This window comes from Homo sapiens, chromosome 6 (genome assembly GCF_000001405.40).
Source record: "Homo sapiens chromosome 6, GRCh38.p14 Primary Assembly".
Classification (NCBI taxonomy): domain Eukaryota; kingdom Metazoa; phylum Chordata; class Mammalia; order Primates; family Hominidae; genus Homo; species Homo sapiens.
In genome coordinates this window covers 10,146,854-10,169,688 of record NC_000006.12, presented here as the reverse complement: position 1 = coordinate 10,169,688, position 22,835 = coordinate 10,146,854, and the positions used below count along the sequence as shown (strand labels likewise).

Here is a 22,835-nt window from a genome sequence, read left to right as displayed (position 1 = left end):
AGTGCTGCAATCCTAGCTCGCGGCAGCCTTGAACTCCTGGGCGCAAGTGGTTCTCCCACCTTAGCCTCCTGTGTAGCTGTGACTATGGGCATGGGCCACCATGCCGGGCTGAATTTATTTCATTTATTTAATTAATGAATTTATTTATTTTAGAGATGGCATCTCACTCTGTTGCCCAGACTGCTCTCAAACTCCTGGCCTCAAGCCATTCTCCCACCTCAGCTTACCGAGTTGTTGGGATTATAGGCATGAGCTGCTGCGCTCAGGTGAAAACTTCATTTATTTAAATTTTCAGGAGCTAAATATTTGAAATTGACTCAAAGAGTTCTTTATTTTCCTATTTGATTTTTAAATATTTGCATTTTGAATCTCTCATATGTTGATTCATTGATTCATCCTTTGAATATTGTTCAAATCATTCTACTGAGCCTTAACCCACAGGGCTAAAATTTCCTGTATCTTCTCTCTAGCCCTTTGCTTAGAATCTTACAGTGACACATCTGATATCTACTAATAACTAAACAGGTGCTGAATAGCAAATGACAGTACTGGCTTCTTCGCCTTAGTTTACATTGGCTTTGGCTCAACATCCTTTGCCCTGGCTCCCATTCCTCTCCTTTACCTGTGCCTGGTGAAGAAATTAATAGTCTTTCAGCTGTATTTATAAATAAGCATAGAATTATGGGAACCAGAGCAGATCAAATGATTTATGCAGGGTCATGGGCTCAGTTCACAGGCAGGAGATTTTAGACTCCACTCTAGTATTTACATGATCTGCAACAGAAAATTGGAAATGCTTTTTCTTTATGAATTTCGAAGTCTTACTCGAGAACCCGAGAGTTGTCAAAATCAGTCTGATATTTTTTACCTCCCGATAATAAATTTAACAAAGTATATCTGTGCCAAACAAAATAGTAGAAGTTATATTGAATGCAAATATAGAGAGACATAAGATCTCAACCACAGGATGGGCACGGTGGCTCACTCCTGTAATCCCAGTACATTGGGAGGTTGAGGTGGGCGGATCACTTGAGCTCAGGAGTTCCAGACCAGCCTGGACAACATGGTGAAACCCCATCCCTGCAAAATAAATAAATAAAAATAAAACAAACAAACAAACAAATAAATAAAAAATAGGCTGCGTGTGGTGGCTCACTCCTGTAATCTCAGCGCTTTGGGAGGCCCAGGTGGGTGGATCACTTGAGGCTAGAGTTCAAGACCAGCCTGGCTAACATGTTGAAACTCCATCTCTACTAAAAATACACACACACAGACACACACACACACACACACACACACAGACACACACACAAAAATTAGCCAGGTGTGGTGGCACATGCCTGTAATTCCAGCTATTCGGGAGGCAGAGGCATGAGAATCACTTGAGCATAGGAGGCGGAGGATGCAGTGAGCCAAAATCGTGCCAATGTACTCCAGCCTGGGTGGCAGAGACTCTGTTTCAAAAACAAAAATAAATAAATAAATAAATAAAAATTAGCCAATGGTAGTGGCCTGCACCTGTAGTCCCAGCTACTCAGGAGGCTGACATGGGAGGATCGTTTGAGCCCAGGAAGTCAACACTGAGTGAACTATGATCACACCACTGCACTTCAGCCTGGGAGTCAGAGGGAGGAGCTGCCTTAAAAATAAATAAATAAATATATAAATACATAAATAAACGAATGAACATTTAGAGGTGAGAATAATAGAGAAAGTGCTATGATTACGTCTTCTGGCTTTTAGAGGCATAATTTAAAAAATAATTTCTGTTCTGCAAGTGTCAGTGAAAAAGTTATTTAAATTTTTAAAAACCAAAATGAACATTCCGTTTGTCAACTTGAGACCTCAAATTTCTCCCTATCTCATGATGTGTTTTCATTTTTTTCCTATCTCACATTTTTTCTTTGAAATTACAAAAAAAAAAAACAAAACCCAAAACTGAAGTATGACTGTTGATAGTGATGGTATATGAACTGATAACAGCATTTAGGAGGATCATTTTCCAATGTAAATGATTAATATATTAACATCTCTTCTCTTCCTCTGCTTCTTTCTTCTCTTTCCCTTCTTCTCACTGTTATTCTTTTGGTGGTGTGGTGGCAGTAATTCATGGTGAGATGACCTTTTATATTTATTTTTGTTTTTCTAAGATTCTCTCTTTTCAATAGACTGCTTAATGAACACAGTTAATCAATGATCGCTTGTTAGCAATAACTTGCAGATTGAAAAAGGAAATCTCAGTTATTGGTGGCAATGTAGGGATTGGTGGGAAACTGATAGATATTGAAAATTCTGAGCTAAGAGACTAAAAATGGTAGACTGAGCTGTTCAGCTATGTATTGCCATCATGGCTTTTTTTTTGGGCGGGGGGGCGGATGATAACCTAAATGTAACCCCTTACTTAATTACACTGGTAATATTTGAAATGGCCTGAGGTATGGAGTCTATGAGTAGATAGAAATTAATGGTATCCATAGGCTCTGTTAGAGATGCTTGGAAAAATTAGGGAACATGAATAAACAAAACAAACCAAAACAGTCTATCCTCTTGTGGTTGGGAAGAGACAAACAATAAATGAAAACTTAATAAAAAAGCACATGATCTAGTGTAATAGAGTATAGAGTTAGGAGGTGATGGGTAGGTAGTAGAAAGAAACAGGGAATCTATAGTGGAGGACTGAAGGGTGGTTTGCAATGTTAAATAGCATGGTCAAGGGAGGCCCCATCAAAATATAAACATTTTAGCAAAGACTAGAAGAAGGTGAGAGTATTTTATAACCTAAAAGGGAGAAGAAGGTTCTAGGAAGAGAAGCCAGCCAATGTAAAAGCCCAGGAGTCAACTGCCCATTCAGATGCTCCCTCCCAAGGGCATTAGCGAGTCCGCTGTTGAGATCTCCGTGTTATACTCCCCACTGCCCATTTGGTTTTAGCCTTTATTCCAGGGTTCAAACTCACCATTCAATAAATACATTCTAGTTTTTCCCTTGATGAATATGGGAGCAGGAAGGGTGATCATCTGCATCGTTTTGAGTGAAAATCGACAAGACAAACAGTCCTTTCTCTTGTTAATATCAAACAACTCTTATAACTTTGGTTATTATGCTAACAAAGCCTTACCAAAGACTGATAAGACTGTGGCCTTTTTAATCCTAATTAGCATGTTCCCTGGCTTTAGGAAGAACATAGGCAAAGCCACAAAGAAGGGGAAGGAAAGGAATTCTGGAAATAAATATTTATAGTGAATCCTGCTTTAGGATTTTTGTATTTTTCAATAGGTGTTAAATTAAGTTTAGCCTAAACCTGCTTCCTTATGTATTTTAAGTTCAGCCTAAAGGTTTCTTCGCGCATGGTGAACTGTAACCTAACTGGATGTGTTAACAGACTGTAACCTACTCTCATGCCAATCACTGAGTTTTGGCCAATCAAAGGCGGCCAACTGTTCAAACCATGTTCAAATGAGGCAAACACCCAGTTGCAACCTCACTTCCTTTTTCTGTAGTCACTTCCGCTTTCCTGTCCATAATTCTTCTTTGACCAGGAGGCAGTGCTGGAGTCTCTCTGAACCTGTTCTGGTTCAGGGGCTACCTGATTCACGAATCATTCTTTGCTCAATTAAACTCTGGTAAATTCAATTTGTCTAAGGTTTTTCTTTTAACATAGAAATGGCTTCCATTATAAACTGTGGTTTGCATAATCTTGGCTCTGGGTTTTCTATGAATTTGTGATCAGTTTCAGTGTGAAAAAGTCTGGCGCTCCCTCACCCTTTCACTAACGGTGTGATGATAGCTGAGGTGAAGAGATGGGTTCTGAGGCTGGAAAGATCAGAGACCAAGGTGGTCTTGGTGTGGGAGGTAATAAATACATCCAGCTGAGGGTACCTGGGTGAGAAGGAGCGCAGACCCTTCCCTCAGGCCAGGGGAGTCCAAGACTGAAACTAGTACTGAGAAAGAATAAACCCAAATTTATATGAGAAGACAGAAGCAGCTCCTTTATTACAGCCCTACAGTTATGACAAATGAAGACATATCCAAGAACAGATAATGAAAAATTTTGAATTATTGCCATTGTTTCTCATATTCCTGAGACTCTTGAATTAATATAGCAAACCAAGTCTGAAGATAAAAAGCCAGAAGCTTTATCAAATACATTATGTCTGGCAGAAAGTCTACACTGAACTAACTCAATGTCCAAGTAGTGGCTTGGGTTTTGTGTAAGAAGTGGCATGGATTTTCCTGGGAGGTCTTAATTTGCTTATCTCTTCATTTGAAGCCAAAGTGTATAACTACAGATGACTTCTGTACTTTTTCTATTGGGTTGTTATATTTATTTCTTCTTTATTTCTGATTTAGTTTACTTTCTGGAGGAAGCAGGAAGTTCTTTTCTCTAGATCTCAAGAACATTTATCCATAATGGAAAGGGAGAAGGAATAAATTTAATGATAAATCTTGAGTAGCAGTGTCTCTAAAAAGTAGCTTTTAAGTATCTATCTGTGCAGAAAGCTCATCTTGGGCAAGAGTTAGGCATTATGTAGATTATAAAATATATGCAGTAGAATAAATGCTTTAACTTTACACTGAAATTGTTTTAAAGACCAGCTTTAATTCCAGATTTATTCTGTTGTTTTCATTGCTATACAAATAAGAATATAATATTTTCTTTCTCATTTGATTCCCATTGTATATAAATCTCCACAATAATATGAATTGCTATTTTCATAGCCAATTTTTAATTTTTAATATTTTTTAAAACATAGAATTATACATTTGGTAAAGAGTTAGGATTTATACCTTATAGACCAGGAACTGTTTCCTGATTTTGAAAAAATTTCTTCTGGCTGTTTTTATATATTGATGTATGGAAAATGTAACTTGCTCTTTTTCTGTTTCTAAGTGTCTTCATATTCGTGGTTGTATTTTTATCAGTAAAATATAATTTGTTTACAATTATCTAATTTCTGATTGTCATGATCCATTTCTTACAGGAAAGCTATTTATCAACAAAAGCAAAAACACAGTATATCGAAAGCATGTAATCACTTTATGTTTGAAGATAAAGTTAAGGTTATGGAAGAGTTTTCTAAGATTCTGCTGAGTGGAGTAGAGAAAAATAAAAAGGTGCAATAACCCTATTTTAATAAAATCTTTTTCCTTGCTGTTAGTATTGTGGTTATACAATAGGTTAATTCAACATACATGGAGGCTTATGGTTCTTAAATATAGAAATTGTTCCATTGCTAATTTCCCCAAAGAGATTACTGCAGTAAATGCTGTGAAATGTATATTAAAAGCAATACATAAAACAGGTCTAGCCCTTAATAATTCCTCTCAAACCCGAAGATCTTTAAGTTCTGTTGTTATACTGTTGAGCTTGCAAAACAAACAAACAAACAAAACAGTCACCACCTAAAAATCTTATTAAAGTAAAATGAAATGATAATCTGAAAATGACAACCTATTTTTTCCCCTTTTCCTTTCCTTCCTTAAACTTAACCTAAACTGTTTTTCTTTTTCTTTCCTGGTAGTTTTAAATACTAAAGGACAACTAAGTACCTTCATTTTAATATTCATTATTTCTCTTATAGTCTCATAAGGAAACAATAATAGATTCATTTTTTAAAGCCCTAACTATGATGTGATAAAGTTAAAAAGCCACTGGTATTTTCCAGGTTTAAATGTGATCTTTAAAATAATTTAGATGTGCATCTGTGTGTTTTGTTGGTGTGCAACATGTTTTCCGTGAACAACACAACAGCTAAATCAACTCTGCATGATTTTACCTCCTTTCGGCACTCATGCATTTATAAATAAATTATATCAGCTGTGTACCTACTTTGTCACTTTCCACCATGAGCTCACACAACTCACCGTACAGCAGACATTTGCAAAAGCGGGTGTTAAATTTAGACCAAGTTCCAGGAAAAGCAGTTGACTTTCTTACCTCAAGGCATAAAATCATAGGCCCTTTGCCAGGTTTGTGGACACTTCATTCTTTACTAAGCTAACTTCTCTCTCCGCTCACCTCTGTTCTTTTCTCCCTCTCCCTGTCTCCCAGGGCCACTCTGGAAGAAGAAAGAACCACCCAGTTGAGCTGGTCATTCACTTGTAGGCATTAGAATGGCAGAGCTGTCACCTGTGGGCTGTTTAGGCTGCAAACATTACTAAGCTGCTTTACAGAAAGTTATGTAAAGAGCTGTTAATGTTCTCTGAAGACTTTCCTGCCATGCTGGCTGTACAGGCGTTTGGAAAGAGGCAGGTCGAGACGTGTGTGGACGCTACCCCTCGCTATTTATGAGCTGAGCAGCTTGCGGTGAAAAGCTGTCATTTTCCCCCTGGGTGTGTAGAACCAGTTTCTCCGGCATGCCAGGCCACGAAGCTGAGGCTTATCCAAAAGGAGGGGCGGGGAGGAGGGCTGCAAGGAAAGCCAGAGATGTATCACTTGTTTAAGCTCTGAGTGGGGAGAGAAAGTGAGGATAAAAAGAAGAAAGGAAAAACTATCTTAGAAAGTTCTCTCAATTATCTGTGGTTTCCTATGGTGGAAACATCTTCTCTTTTCATTCAGTGGAAGTGGAGGGAAATGTGGGAATTAAGTTATGTGGAGAAGAAGCAGGATTTACTCACAAGCTCACTGGCTGGACCAAGTCATTGGCAGAGATAATTCCCGATCGACTTTCGTCCCTTACAGATTAAATTTATCTAGAAAAATCTCAAAGTTATCCAAACTGACTAAAAATGCCCTTTTCTATTCTGGAAAAGATTTGAATCATCCAAAAGGAATAAAAATGCCCTTTCCTATTTTGGAGAAGATCTGAATCAACATCTAAACTAACCCCATTTGAATTTTTAAATGGTATATATAGTAGTACATTGGTATGTAACCAGGGACCCCAAACCTGTGCTGTCACCGTAGGGTAGAAAAAAATGTAAACATAACAGGTTACAACAAAAAACCCTTCTTTTTCACTTGCCTGCAAAGTCTAGGCCGTTGAAATTCTTTAGCAGGCCTGCCTGCACTTTTCATAATGCTGTATATAGGCAAATAGGCCAGGCATTGATCACAAAATGGACTTGTAAATGACTGTGCCTGCTGGTATAAATCAGTGCCACCCAACAAAACAGAGGAGCCAGACCATAGTGTGGTTGTTGCTTTTCTTGAATTTTCTTAATATATCTGTTTTTTTTTAATGATTCTAACTGTCAACTGGGATTATTAGACTGCATAATGATATTTTTTATGTCCAAACACATGAATAAAATTACTTTTTCCCCATGTATATTATGGTTATACATGCTTTCTGAAAGTAAATTAACATAGAAATAAATCTGTGATGTCAAGAATATGCATTAACCTGTTTGGGCCTTATAAATATGTAAAAATAGCACCTAGTGCTTTGCCTCTCTGTGGTAGGGTAATATCTTATCCTGAATCTAGAACTGGACATTTTGTATATTAGAATATACAAATTCTAATTCATTCATATGTGGAAGCCCTGATCCCTCAGTGTGAGGGTACTATATTTACTCAATGCAATTTAATAATAATTTAAGAAAATATTGCGTGTTTGGTTTTGTACCTGGTGCTCAAGGGAATACGGTGAAGACTGTCATGTGGTCTTACCTTTTTAAGGCTTATCATCTTGCCTTAGACGTGACTAGTGTATTGTTACCTGGGCTGTTGCATCTGATTCTACTTTGCCTTTATTCTACTTCCAAACTGTTCTTCACACGTCTTCTAAAGAAATTCATCTTAGCTTTCTTCCCTCTTCCCCTCTTATTGGTAGAGAAGATCCTCATTGTCACTCCCCTTTGGGGCCCAGCGCTCTGACCACACAAGCTGTCACAGTGGCTTTCACGCTCGCGGCTCACTTATCTCCGAATATTTGTGTGTGCTGTTCCCGCTGCCTGCTTTTCCACATCTAACTCCATCCACCTGGGAAAAGTCTTCCTCATTCCTTAAGGAATCTGCTCATGCAGCACTTGTTTTTTGAACAAGACCTTTCCTGCTGCCTTCCCTCCCTGGCAGGACTCGATCTTCAGAGTCCTCCTCCTCCTCCTCCTTAACTACTCTTCTCAGAGCTCTTCACATGTTCTTTGAGTGTCTTTGGTGTGCTTGTCAGTATCCTTGACTGGCCTAAGTGCTCTTGGTGGCCAGGATTTTTGTCTTATTCAATCTTTGTGCTACCACCACATAGCACATCTGGGTAGACACTCCACAAATGTCTGCTGAATGCACAGTCCCTTCATCACCTGAAAAATGATTTTCAAACAACACTAAGTCTACATATAGTTTTCTAGGATCGCGAAGGCTAGAAGAAAACTGATTTACTCAAAGTATCTAAATTGGTTCTGGCTTCGTCTTTGTCTCTTCCTGCCTTCTTTACCTTTATCTACTGACTGCTTCTCATGACAGTGAACAAGTCCCATGAACCAAACCACCTCTTTCCCCAGCTTATGCTCTATAACAGCTCCCATCATCCTTAGAATAAAATGAAGGCCTTACCTTGGCCTACAAGGCCCCCTGCAATTTGTCCTCCCAATCCCCCCAACCTCATGCTGTATTCTCCCCATCATACACTGCGTTCCAGACACAGGAACCTCTTTTGGTTCCTAGAACATGCTAGCCTCTATTCTGCCTGGAGCTCTTCACACCTGCTGTTCCATCTGCTGGAACACTCTTGCATTTTCCACAGGGCAGGCTTCTTATCTTTCAGGTATCAGCTTCAATGTCACCTTTTCAGAAGCCTTTCCTAATCACCTCTTCCCCATCCTTTTCTCTAGGACTACATCTGTTTTTGTCCTTCAAAGCCAAATCACAAGTGATTGATTTGTTTGTATTTACTTTCTTCTTTGTTTGTTTGTTTATTCATTGCCTCTTCCTTTCTCCCATTAAACTGTGAGCTCCTTGAGGACAGGGACCATATCTGTTTTTTCCTGCTGAATTCTCCAAGGCCTACGACTGCACCAGGCACAGAGTAAATGATAAGAAATATTTCTTGAATGTCAAGTGAATAATCAATCCAAAGCAAACTTGTAAAGGGCTTCGTGATATACATACATTCTCACAACAACCAAATGAAATAAACGTGTAAAGTGCTAAAATTACTCCAGTGTTATTTTGGGCTAAATATTTGTGTCCCTTCCACCAAATTTGTATGTCGAAGCCCTGATCCCTCAGTGTGATAATATTAAAAGTCCTTTGGGAGGTAGTTAGGGTTAAATGAGGTCACAAGAGTGAGGCCTTCATGATGGGATTAGTGCCCTTATAAGAAGAAGAAGTCAGAGAGAGATGGATCTCTCTCTCTCCACAATAGGACACCATGGAAAGCCTACATTAGCACACAGCAAGAAGACAGCTGTCTGCAAACCTGGAAGACAGCCCTCACCAGAACCCAACCATGCTGGCACCTTGATCTCAGAAAATAAATGTCTGTTGTATAAGCCATCCAGCCTGTGGTATTTTGCTATAGCAGTCCCAGCTGACTAACAGATGTGTTTACATGAGCAGACCTCAAGCATTTTGGCCAGTCCTTCTTTCTATGATGATTTTGATGGTTAACCTGATGGAAAATGTCTTTGGTATCTTCCTTTCCTATTTCAAACTTGCAGGCATTCTCCAGCCTCTGTTGCTATGTTCTGTGTGCTCATATTCACTTCCCTCTCTTCACACAAACTGATATAACTCACCCAGCACACACAACCATCATGGAAAGACCTGAGCTCCCACTCAACCTAACACTAATGTTATGTCAAATGAGATCTTGTAGGGATATTTTAAAAGGAGAGTTTTACAAGTATCTTGGGCTGTGAAAAAGGGGTCTCTAGGTCAATTTGTTGGAATAATCTTCCAATCTTTTAAACAAATATGATGAGCAAAGGGAGCATCACACATTGACCTGGATATAGTAGCAGGAAGAATATCCTCATGTTCTTCAACTCTGTTTACACAAATAGGCATTATCCTAAAATGAGTAATGCTAGGAAATAAGTAAATAAGTTCCAATTTACGGTTGGTCATTCTTCCCCTTCACTCCATTTTTTTTGTATTTATCAATAACTCAGGTATTTTATTTTTAAGAAAATAGTCAAATACCTCTAACCTTTCTCAGGCCATTCAAGATTAAGCAAGGTTTGGGGCTCAAATGGTCTGGGTGACCACTGAACTCATGTGGCCTTTCTGCTATTAATGCTTTCCAGAAAAACAACAACAGAATCAATATGACTACTGAGAATACATTTTTAAAAATTAACGTGACATCTTGGATCTTATAAGAGTCAAGCCCTTCAGGAAATAAACCATGAGGTAAGTGATCGCCCAGTGATTCCATGTTCATCTCTCTGGGATCTGCTGAGAATTAAAGGTGATTCTTAGGGCAAACACAGCATTATCAAAAGGCTGTAGCAGCTAGAGCAGGTGAAGGAAACAAACAAAAACAAAAAGCAAAAAACCAAAACCAGACTAGGCCATGCGGCATGCACCGTAAACTGAGCTTTAGCTTTGCTTCCAAATGCCAGAGAACACCTGTCCACACTGGGGACCCGGCACACATTTTCTTCCTGGCGCAGCACACCAGATGCCCAGCTCTCATTAAGGAGAAGTTTGTCTGACAGTCTTTGCCTTGCTGTAATTCTTATCCCACTCTGAATTCCTCTAGCAAACATTGATTGAAAGCTCTCCATATGCCAGGCACCACACAGCTCTGCAAACCTCCCTTGGATCCTACCTTTGGAGTAGGAGAGGCAAGGTACAGAGAGGGTGAGAAGGCAGAGTATTTGCTGTTTAACCAGTTTTTGATTGGAAAGACTTTCAATCAGGCATTAAATTTATCAAGCTTTTGCTGTGGGTCTGACAGGCACTGGGTGAGTTCATGTGGCCCTTGCTCTTGAAAGGTCACAGTCTGGGTATAGACTTAACTGTAGGATGTATTTTTCAAGGAAAGAAGCAAAGTATAGAACAGCATGGATGCTCCCATCTGAGCAATAAAAGGGTATGTGATACATGAGCACGCACACATGCACACACACACACGCACACGCATGTGCACATGCACGCACACACACACATGTGTGGCTAAATGCCTAGACTACCTGGAAACACTGGTTGCTTTGGGGAGAACTGGTTTTGTTTTCTTAGAGCACTTATCAATCTCTGAAATTGTCTTATATATTTGTTTATCAACTTATTTATTGTCTGTTTCTACACTGGCATGCGAGCGCTTGCTTACAGCTATAGCTCCAGCGACTACAATAGGGCTTGGTATATTTTAGGTGCTTGTAGTTAAGAATGTTTTTTTTAAATGAATGAGCTGGAAATGAGAGGATGTAGGGGTAAGAGTTCAGAGATGGGACGGAGTCTTGCTTTTAACTCTATGCCATTCTGTAACACTTGAATATTTAAGTTTTTATTATGAAAAAAATACAATTAAGTATTTTTAAGTATATTAAGCAAAAGTAGAGACGACAGTGTAATAAACTTTCATGCACTCATTATCCCAAAACAATGGTCAACTCATGGTAGATTATGTTTCATCCATATCTCCCTCACTGCTCTTCCTCTGCCTTGAGATTGTTTTGAAACAAACGCCAGCCGTCATTGTGTCTTTAAGTAGTTAAATATGTAAACCATAACTGCAATACATTCCACACCTAAACAAACAAGCAGTGTTTTATGAATATCATCAATTATTCACTGTTCAAATTTCCCTAATGAGTCTCATACTTTTCTTATAGGTTGTTTGAATTGTATTTAACAACGTACATGTATTACTTTTTCCAGAATGTTTATTTGGGATGTTTACAATCTAGTAATCTAGTAGGGAATATGGCTCCATCCAATCATCCATCCATCTACCCATCCATCCATCCATTAAATAAATCCATATTAAGTGCCTAGTATGTGTCAGGTGTTGTTCCAGGTGCTTATTATGTATCACTGAACAAAAGGACAGAAATCCCTGCCCTTGTGGAGCTCTAGCCCCCTAGCTGACAGAGACCACTAACAAATAACAAGGTATGTAAAGCCTTGATTATGATTCAGTAATATGTAACATGTATGATAATGTAAAGGGCACAAACTCCTTTGTTAAAAACAGTGTCATCATATGACTAACATAAGAGATTCAAAGTATTGAGGCCCTTATTTTAGCATTTAAAACTTGCGATGTGGCTGGGTGCGGTGGCTCACGCCTGTAATCCCAGCACTTTGGGAGGCCGAGACAGGCAGATCACTTGAGGTCAGGAGTTCAAGACCAGCCTGGCTAACATGGTGAAACCCCATCTCTACTAAAAATACAAAAATTAGCTGGGCGTGGTGGCATGTGCCTGTAATCTCAGCTGCTTGGGAGGCTGAGGCAGGAGAATCACTTGAATCCAGGATCCAGGAGGTGGAAGTTGGAGTGAGCTGAGATTGCACCACCACACTCCAGCCTGGGCAACAGAGCGAGACTCCATTTCAAAAATAAATAAATAAATATAATTTGCAATATTTTTTGCAACACTATTCACAATAGCAAAGATATAGCATCAACCTAAATGCCCATCAATGATAGACTAGATAAAGAAAATGTGGTACATGTATACCACGGAATACTATGCAGCCATGAAAAGGAATGAGATCATGTCCCATGCAGGGACATGAATGGTGTTGGAAGCCATTATCTTCAGCAAACTAATGCCAGAACAGAAAACCAAACACCACACGTTCTCACTTAAAAGTGGGAGCTGAATGATGAGAACACATGGACACATTGCTGGGAACAACACATACTGAGGCCTGTTGGAGTGGGCAGGTGGGGGGAGAGAGAGCGTCAGGAAGAATAATTAATGGATGCTGGGCTGAATACCTAGGTGGTGGGATGAGCTGGGCAGCAAACCACCATGGCACACGTTTACTTATGTAATAAATCTGCACATTCTGCACGTATACCCCTGAACTTAAAAGTCGGAAAAAAATGTGCAATGTTTAATGTTTTGATAAAACCTTGTAAACAGAATATATTGATTTCTTTAAATAACAAATAATTAAGACCATCAAAGCTTTTTTTTTTTTTTAAACTTTCTTACAAACACATTGACTGGGCTCTGCCATTATAAATAAAGTCATGATAGCCAGGGGCCAGGTGCTAGTTGTCAGTGTTTGAGAGGTCAGACTTGGATGTTTATGAAACAGAGCCAGTCTGATACCATGTTCTGGCGCATACTCTAAATACAATTAGGATTTACACAAACCAAGCCGGTGAAGTGCACTGATGCTTCTTGAGGAGGTCTCCTCAGAGAGAGGCTTTTGTGGTTGGAATTCGAACACCACTCATCCCCAAGTCATGAAGCATCTTTGGCCTGTTATCTGGATGGTCTAGGGAAAGTAGAGTTATTGGTAGGCTCTACCAAACCTAAGAGTATTTTTGACTCGTGCTTGAAACCCATGTTGAAAGGTGGTATTTTAACTTGTGAAAGGAAATGTCAGCAGTCTGAAAAATATATTAAAATGGAAAAGGGCCCGTATAATGTTTTAACACTTTTATGCTGTCATTAGGACACTAGACACTAGTACATCTTAAAAATTTTGGTTAAATTGAACTTAACAACAACAACAACAACAAACAACAACAAAAGGCGGGGAGAATAGGACTATCTCTTACCAAGACATTTCAAAGACTATATAGTGTAGCCTGAGTAATTTTTTATACAAGTTCCCCAGATCTTACGCATCCAAATGATATTGTTTCCTATGCAGTGGTTGCTTTGGAAGGTATACTCTACATTCCTTCAGTGGTGCAATTGTGCAAACCATTTCTTTTCTTTCCTTTTCTTTTTTTCTTTTTTCTTTTCTTTTCTTTTCTTTTTTTTTTTTTTTTGAGACAAAGTCTTGTTCTGTCGCCCAGGCTGGAGTGCAATGGTGCAATCTCGCCTCACTGCAACCTCCGCTTCCCAGGTTCAAGCGATTCTCCTGCCTTAGCCTCCCAAGTAGCTGGGATTACAGGCGCCCGCCACCACGCCCGGCTAATTTTTGTAGTTTCAGTAGAGACGGGGTTTCGCCATGTTGACTACACTGGTCTTGAAGTTCTGACCTCAGGTGATCCACCCACCTCGGCCTCCCAAAGTGCTGGGATTACAGGCGTGAGCCACTGCTCCTGGCCAGACATGCTGATTTTTTTTAATCCTACCTCATCTTCCTCCAATGTCCATTTTCTCTCTAAATCCTGACTGTGCTCAGATTTCACTTTCCTCAAGATTCTGAATGCCTTCAAAAGAGGCAAGACCATAATTCTGCAACCAACAAACTGATGACTTTGAGTCTAATTCTGGGTAAGATGTTAGATCTATCTACTGAAAAGATGGTTCAAAAGTATAGAAAAGAAGTGATGATTTTCAGAAGCCTCATGGGTTCACCAAGCATGAATCATGTCAGAACAAGCTCATTCCTTTCTGCAGGATTGTATGACCTCCAGATACAGGGGACATGGTATGGTAGAAAGCAGCTTGGACTAGGAATTAGGAGATTGTCTTGGAATCCTTCTTCTTGCTACTTTCTAACTACATATTTGGGGCAAGTCACTTGCCTTCTGTTAACCTTTGTATAAAGTTATTGTTGCCCCACGTATAAAATAGGGATAATATTAACTTCTAGAACAAAGTAATAAATACATTAGTAATACCTCCCTTGTAAGGATTGGTATGAGAGTAAAAAGAGGTAATAAATTTTAAACAGATTAGAATACTTTCAGTCAAATAACTCAATACATGTGAGTAATCCACAAACAAAGAAAAAGACTAAAAACAAACAGAAAAATGCCTTGCGTGGTGGCTTATGCCTGTAATCCCAGCACTTTGGGAGGCCGGGGCAGGTGGGTCATTTGAGGTCAGGAGTTCGAGACCAGCCTGGCCAACATGGTGAAACCCCGTCTCTACTAAAAAATACAAAAAATTAGCCAGGTGTGGTGGTGCGCACCTGTAGTCCCAGCTACTCAGGAGGCTGAGGCAGGAGAAATTGCTTGGACCTGGGAGATGGAGGTTGCAGTGAGACAAGATCACACCACTGCACTCCAGCCTGGGTGACAAAGCCAGACTCTGCCTCAAATAAAAAAAAAAAAAAAGAAAGAAAGAAAGAAAGAAAGAAAAGCAATTTTAGGCTGGAATAATGAAGAAGTGTTACCATGTCTTAAAATAAATGGCTATAGGTACCAGGAATGTTTAGATTGAAGAAGGGAAAATCTCAGGAGTTGGCAAACAATAGCCCAGGGGCTGAATCTGGTCCACTTCCTCTTTTTGTATGGCCTGTGAGTTAAGAGTGATCTTTCCCTTTTTAAATAGTTGGAAGCAAATCAAAAGAAGATTACATAAAATTCAAATTTCAATGTCTATATAAGCAAAGTTTGATTGGGAACCCAGCCATCTCATTCATTTACCTACTGTCAATGACTGCTTTTGTGTTACAGCAGCAGATTTGAGTGGTTGCAATAGACACCATATGGCTGAAAACTCCAAAATATTTACTCTGACCATTCATAGAAGAGGTTTGCTGACACCTGAAATAGTCAAAAGCTGTCATGTAAAAGAGGCCCCAGAACTTATCATGTTCTGTAGGCCCCAGAACTTAGAACTAATGGGTAAACCAATGGATAGATTGGTAACTAATGGGTAAAAACTATAGTTCAGGTAGGTTTCACTCAATGTAAAAAAGAACCTTCTAATAATCAGAGTTACCAAAAGGTGGAAAGGGCTGTTTTGTAAGGAGGTGAGATCCCCGTCAACAGCAACATTTAAGCTAAGCTACATGAATGCTTGAGGGGGGTATAGAAATAATTTAAGGACAAGATGATTGTTGGGCCAGAAAACTTTTCAGAACCCTTCTGAAACTCTGATTTTGTAATTCCAAGCTTTTCCCAATCTATCTCTGAAATCTCAAATAAGTATTTACAGGCAATATTTTACAACTTAGACTATTCAAATTGCTATGAGGGATAATGACCTGTGTAGGAGTTACTTGATGGATCTAATAGACTTTCACAAAAGACAAAAGTTAAACACTTGAACACTCAAATTTTGCCCATAATTTTAGGGAACTTTTGGAACCCAACTGAAGTCCAGTCATAGACCCAAAGTAAAGAGCCCCAATTTACATAAACTCTGAGGCCCCAAAACATAAAAATTCTGAGTTAGTTGATGTCTCATTAGTGCATCCATTTTTGGATCAATCATGCCCTTTGTTCTTCAGTTTATTTTACAGTTTATGACAGGACTAACCTACTTCATGTGGAAGACTGAAACAGCCCTTCCAAGGGGCATCTGCCATCCTAGAATAAAACTTCAGACCTTCTTAGTTGTTCTAATACTTACAGTTCACAGGCAGATCATTCAATACATCATTTTCATTATATAAGGGTCCAGTTGTGGTCTAGAAGATCTTCCTTATATTATTGCAATAACTAGCATGAATGGTTGATTTAAACAAGTTTATCATTATTCAGATTTTTACTTCCTTATATGCTTAAATTTTTTAATGTTGAGATTAAGATTGACTTTTAACAAGGTCAAGAATCCAACTGACCGCCAGATATTGGGTTAATTTATGTAGCATTTTATAGATAAAGTCATTTGTCCAACAAGTAATTTATATGCTGGAAGAAACAGACTTGATGTGAAGCTAACTATAAGTGACTTAATCATAAATGATTAAGCCATATAATTCTGTTCTCAGTGGTAGTTTTAGAGAGTAATTTTAAATAAACATAGTAGTCTATGTATAAAGCAAATGATTTTAAGACACGTTTTCCTTTATAGAGGCCAGCAAACTATGGTCTGTGGATCAAATATGACCTGTTGCCTGTTTTTCAAGTAAAGTTTTATGGGAACATGGCCATGTGTTACATATTGTCTATGATTACTGTCACACTACAATGGCAGAGTTGAGTAGTTGCTACATTAACTGCATGGTTTGCAAATCCAATCTTAAAATATTTACTCTCTGACCCTTTAGAGAGTTTGTTCATCCCTGCTTTAAGCTATGGATAGCAACCTGCACAGATAAAAAGTGTGAGAAGAATAAAGAGTTTTTTCTTTAAAAAAAACATAACCTGCAGATTATGGAGCAATATATTTTTGTTGACTACAGATCAGCAAAGATTTTCAGCTGAGCTGGAAAGCCTATTGAGCTTTAAATGGCTATCCTTACAGCGGAGTAGATTTATTTGTGATGGTTAATACCATGTATTCTGAATTAAAGAATGACATGTAGAATTCAACTTGTGATTCATCGAAAGAATTTTGTATGTATGCATTAAGAGAAAAACAAAACCTAACCTCTGAAAAAACATATTTTCATATGTAAATCATTCAATTATATTCACTTTTTGGGGCAGGTGGTCAAGTTAATTTTGCCTCTGTGTTTTCATTTTTGGTGTTCATGGATTTATCATGCAGACATTTACATTTGACTTTGTCCTTTACAAATATACTTTGAATAAAATGCTTATGTGAAAAGGATTGAAAATGGAATCTACCAAGAATATTTCCTTACTTTAGCTTTCTACCCATCTTCCCCCACATTTTTTGTTCGGTTGCAGTAAGTACCATTTGCTCTTGAAAATTAATTTGCTAATCTTAGATGCCAACAAGTCAATTTCTCAAATGTTTCATGTTTAATTTGTCCTAAAGCTACCCATTCCTGAGAAAATCTGAGCTTTAAAAGATTGAGTGGGTATATGGTCTGAAATAGTGAGCAAATTAATACAGCATTTGCTTCTGGGGTCTTTTATGGAAGATGATGCTTAGTAGGCTGCTAGACCAAATGGAATGATGTATTAATCAGTTTCTTCCAAGTCTACTTCTTTGTTATCCATATTAGGACTGAAGTACCATTTAAACTTTGGGAGGAGTTTCAAGCAGTTCCCTGCATACATGGTAACCATATTTCCTGAACCAAAGATTGGGATGTTTGTATACCCTGAAGATGTTTTGGCACATAGTCTGATACTGGGTCAGAATATTTAAAACCATGTATGCAATGGGAAATGCCCTACATATTTTTCTTAAACCACATTTTTCTTAAGTTGACCTAACGACCGAAATATTCTGGGAATGCATTTGCTTCTCTATAATAAATTAGCTGAGATGCTCCTTGTCATTCATTTGTTGGATGAACAGAGTGACTTTTATTTCATTTAAATAAGCATCATTCTATTGCCTAGCATGATTAATGTAAAATGCAGAAACTATTGAGTGGTATAATTAATATAATTAAAGTAATGCTGGTAGATCCTTTTCTTTTGGATCATTACTGTTCTAAAAAGCGCAACTATAATGCAGAGAGTTCACTATCATAGTATGATGGAGCCTGTGGGCAGAAGGCCAGCTGGTCTTCCACAAGAGAGATAATTAAGAGACAATGGTACAGAAATGCATGTTGTAGCGTGCACGAATGCTCCTGTGTGTTGACCTTACAGCTCCAAGCAACTCAGAGAATGGCTTGTTTTTCAAAATTACAATTCCTCCCAGATTCTAGAGGGAAGGGTGGATACGATTTTTCAGGTTTATGCAATTTCAAAAAGGTAAAATACCTAGTTTGGGGAACACTGCTCTCTCCTTGGAGACCTGCTGGGATACTAAAATTTCAGGTGCTTCAAAAATGCAGGACACAGAGAGGAATTTGAAATGCATCCAGAAGGAAGCAATTTATATTTTTCTGCAACACTTTTATAACAGAAAGGCAAAGAGTGAGTGGAGAGAAAGGAAATGGGAGATCCCCTGACTGGAAGCTGTACAGTTCACCTAGAAGACAGGCTGGGCTTACTCTTTCAGTGAGAAGGAACCTCTTTGCAGTAATCATCTCAGTCATTAAAAACCTTTTATCCAAAGGTAAGGAAGAATTGAGGAGTATAAGGTGAGGTTGGCAACATTTGAAATATTTGAAGTATCCTGCTGTCGAAAGTCGAGAAGCAGGGACTTATTCAAGAAATTTACAGCAATGTAACAACTGTGGGAATCTCCTTGGTCATAAAAACCTGGATGAGGTAAGGTTAGGAAGTTTTGAAAGACACCCCAAACTCAGTGAACCAAATAATAATGCCTTGTTAAAAATAACTGTGAGAACCCACACTTTTCCCCCAAGAGCATCATCAACCATCTGGAGCATTGAGTTGAGTGCAGTCTGTGTGTACACATGTGTTTGTCTAAGCAATAACTAAACCAGTCTTTTTTTCTGTGCAGATTATTCTGGGATCAGTTAAATGGAAATAAATAACATTTCATGTGTAGAACCTCCCCGTGTGTGCTTCTCTCTCAAAATATTGATTTTCTTTTATTCCATTCGAAAGGAAGACCCACAAGGAATAGGAAGAGGAGGGCACTGTTTCTTTATGAATACTAATAAGGAAATCAAGAGAGACAGTGGCACTTCAAGTTTCATCTCTCCATTTCCTAGAGGCGCAAACCCTGCCAGTTGTCACCTTGGTGTATTCAGTGCCTTTTGAAGCACTAGACTCCTCCAGAGAGAATGTCAGCCCCAGCCCTGGGCAGTTTTGACAAACAGAGTATATATTGATACATGATAAAGTATGCTAGAAATCACCCCAGCGCTAAAGGCTACTATAGTTTTAATATCATCATTTGAATTAACAAGCATTCTGTGGAGAAATAATGAGCTTTCATTATTCAGAACATCATCCTTACCCGGGGAACTCAGAAACCATTAGCTCTTGAGAACTTAATGAAAAGATGATAAAGAATGTTTTAGATAAAAGTTTGAACGGGCACACTTGATAACTGAGGTAAAATATTAATGTTTGCCTGGATGATGGATCAGGGTTGTTGAGGCTGGCTCGTCAAAGTGACGGTTACCAAGTGTGTGGTCAGCTCATGCGTGTGCCGGAGCCAGACTGGCCCAGTGGACGATGCGAGCTGTCAGTCTCTGTCGACTGTGCTTCTGAGAAGGCTGCCGAGCTCCTAGCACGGCGAGGGCCCTTTTAGACTTACAGACAAGAAGGAGTGGAGGTAGACAGGAAAAAGAGGGAATGCGGAAAGATAAAGTGTGATCAACAGGTATTGATGTACATGTTCAGAACTGGCACCTCAAATCACTGTTTCATAGTCTCTCATGTAAAACATAAAAACAAACGCTTGAATTTATCTGGTAAAATTTGTTTTTCTTGTCTTAGCCTGGCCAGTGGACTCGGAAATTTTCAGTTAGCATCCTGGTTTTTAATTTTATGTGATAAAATTGCATAGTGGCGGGAAAGGAAACAGAAAGGAAATACAAGTAAAAAGATGACATCTTTAACGCTTGGGTGCCAACATCAACCACTTGTAGACTAATAGATGAAACTTGAGCGCATGCAGACATAGAATAAAAGTCATGCTCATCGTAAACATTTGAAAAATACAGACAGTAGAAGACAGCAAAATATCACTCTCAGTCCCACTATACAAAGAGAATCTCTGCTAGCCCTTTGGTATATTTACTTCCAGCCCTTTTGCAGTGTGTATGTTACTTATGTGGCAATGATCACATGGCATATGCAGAATTATAGGTGTTGTCATTTTTAGAGCATTTTCATGATTATAAAACTAATACACGATGATTGCCTAAGATTGGAAGGTACTGGAGATAAACTTGGATGTCCATGAGAGTCGCCCTAGAGAGCTTATTAAAAAGCAGTCTCCTGGACCCCACCTCAGACCGACTGCATTAAATCCAGCAGAGGGGCAGTCTCTGGGGTCAGACTGTCTGGGTTAGAATCTTGATTCCATCACTTAACAGTATGTGTCCTTGAGCAAATTAATTCACCTCTTTATGCTGCAGTCCTCTCAGGTGTAAATTAAGGATAAAAAGAGTACACACCTCAGGGCTGTTATAAGGATTAAATGGCATAATGCTCATACAGCACATAGAATATTGGTTGGCACATAGTGTGGAATCAAATGTTAGTGATGATGATGATTAATATTATTATTGTAACTCTTATCCTCAGTTACAACAAGCTCCCCAGATGCTTCTAATGGACCATGAGTATTATGGCGTGTCCTTTGCCTCTTTTCCTATACATTTAAGAATATGATTAGGTTGGTAGTGGTATGAAGATGATGGACTGGTGCTCCATGTCTTTCCCAACATTTGTCTGGTATGCATTCCTGTACATTTCCCAGAATTCCTTTTGTCTGAGGTTCTGAGTATAATTTAGTTTCCAAAAAGTAGATGAATTAGATGCACTCATGAATGATTTGGAAGGTGGAAGGGAGGCAGAGACTGTAGCTGCTTGATTTTCTTAGTAAGCAGAAACAGGTAGGAACTTGGTTTTTCTGCTATGACACCAGTGGACGTCTCAACAGCCGTTGAACTGTGGAGTTGGAGTGTGGAGAGGGGACCTGTTTTGCTGGTACAGATTATAGCAGCCTTCTTGATTGGGATGATGTTGGTAAGGTTCAGGAGGTGGCAGCTTTCCTATTTGGCAAGCAGCTTCCAAATGACAAAAGAAGCTCCGTGGGTGGCTGAATTTTGTGACTTTGGGAGCCATTCTTGAAATCTAACCTAGAGGCTCTTTCCTCAGCCTTCCTAACAGTCCAATAACCCATTTCAAACTTGTAATAAACTAGCTTCAGCTAAACTAGCTAGAGTGGATTTTGTTCTTTGCAACATAAATCTGACAAATATCATTGCATATAATGTTTAAAAAACATATTTAGACAGAAATATTCTCCAGTCTTGGAAGATGATAAGAGGTGGGGATTTGTGTCAAATGAAATATATCATAGGGCAGTTTATTGATCTTTGCTAATTATTTAAAACCATAGTTAGATTTCTCAACGTACATTTCAAAGATGCAGAAAAAAAATCAATAACCAAGAAGCTTGACAATGAAAATGGCCTTTATGTTGGTTTCAGCAGTTCTGCTATTGTGGAGGGCTAAAAGAGCACTTTTTGTATCAGCCCTGTGAAAAGTCTGGCCATTGTTAGTAAATGCTGGCACAGAACAGCATTATTTGTTGTTTTAAATGTTCATCGAAGAAGTCAAGTATTTAGAACAGTAAGTTAAGGATGTGATCCAAGAAGCATTTCTGATGCTGGAAAATTAACAGCATCAGAAGCAGAAAAAGAACATTTGGGCAAGGGACTGTAGAGAAAAGCTCTGTTCCTCGCTGCCCAATCGATTTGAAAACAACATCCTCGAATAATGATTTTTCTTGCATCTTTGAAATGTATATTGAAAAAGCCAAGTTATGCTTTTGTTTAATTAGTAAAGACCAATAAACTGCTCTATGATGGAAGGTTCTTTCTGTTGCTTTCCTCCCGTCAAATAACACTTGGCTGGGTATAAATTCAAGGGTTTTGTTTATTTTTTTCTGTCTCAAAATTCTGTAAGCAATGTTCCACTGTGTTCCGGCATTTAGGGCTGAAGGCAATAAATCCAAAAACAAGCTTACTTTTATTCCATTGCAGAAGATAGTTCTGCCTTACATCCATTTAGAAAATGTAACTGAAAAACAAAACAAAACAAAACAAAACTGGTGCAGGCATTTGAGAAGACCGGCTGAGATGCATTGCATCCTGGGAGGTGTAGTCCTTGCAAAGTACAGTGCTTCCTGGGAAATGGAGTTTTTCATGTGCTCATAGTCTCAGAATGGGCTGTACTTTGGTGGAGGCTGGTGGGTGGCAGGGGCGAGTGGGAGGAGATGGGGGATGGAGGGGAGAATAAGATTCTATTTCTTACTGAAAAGATTTGTCTTTTTATGACAATGAAAAAAACCCAGAAAAATACCAACAGAAGGCTTATAAGAAAAATATTGCACAATTAGGGGAAAAGATCATTATCTTGAAGCCTCAGAGACAGATTATTACCTATTTCAGGCAACA

The 22,835-nt window shown here is 38.8% G+C and overlaps 1 pseudogene across 1 annotated transcript in view; it reads left to right on the top strand.

Moving 5' to 3' along the window:
- Positions 1-22,835, top strand: part of OFCC1 (orofacial cleft 1 candidate 1 (pseudogene)) — a 506,631-nt pseudogene that overhangs the window by 41,920 nt on the left and 441,876 nt on the right. Inside the window, exon 2 of the transcript NR_170155.1 lies at positions 10,190-10,295. The product of NR_170155.1 is annotated as an orofacial cleft 1 candidate 1 (pseudogene) (transcript). The remainder of the gene's footprint in view (positions 1-10,189; positions 10,296-22,835) is intronic.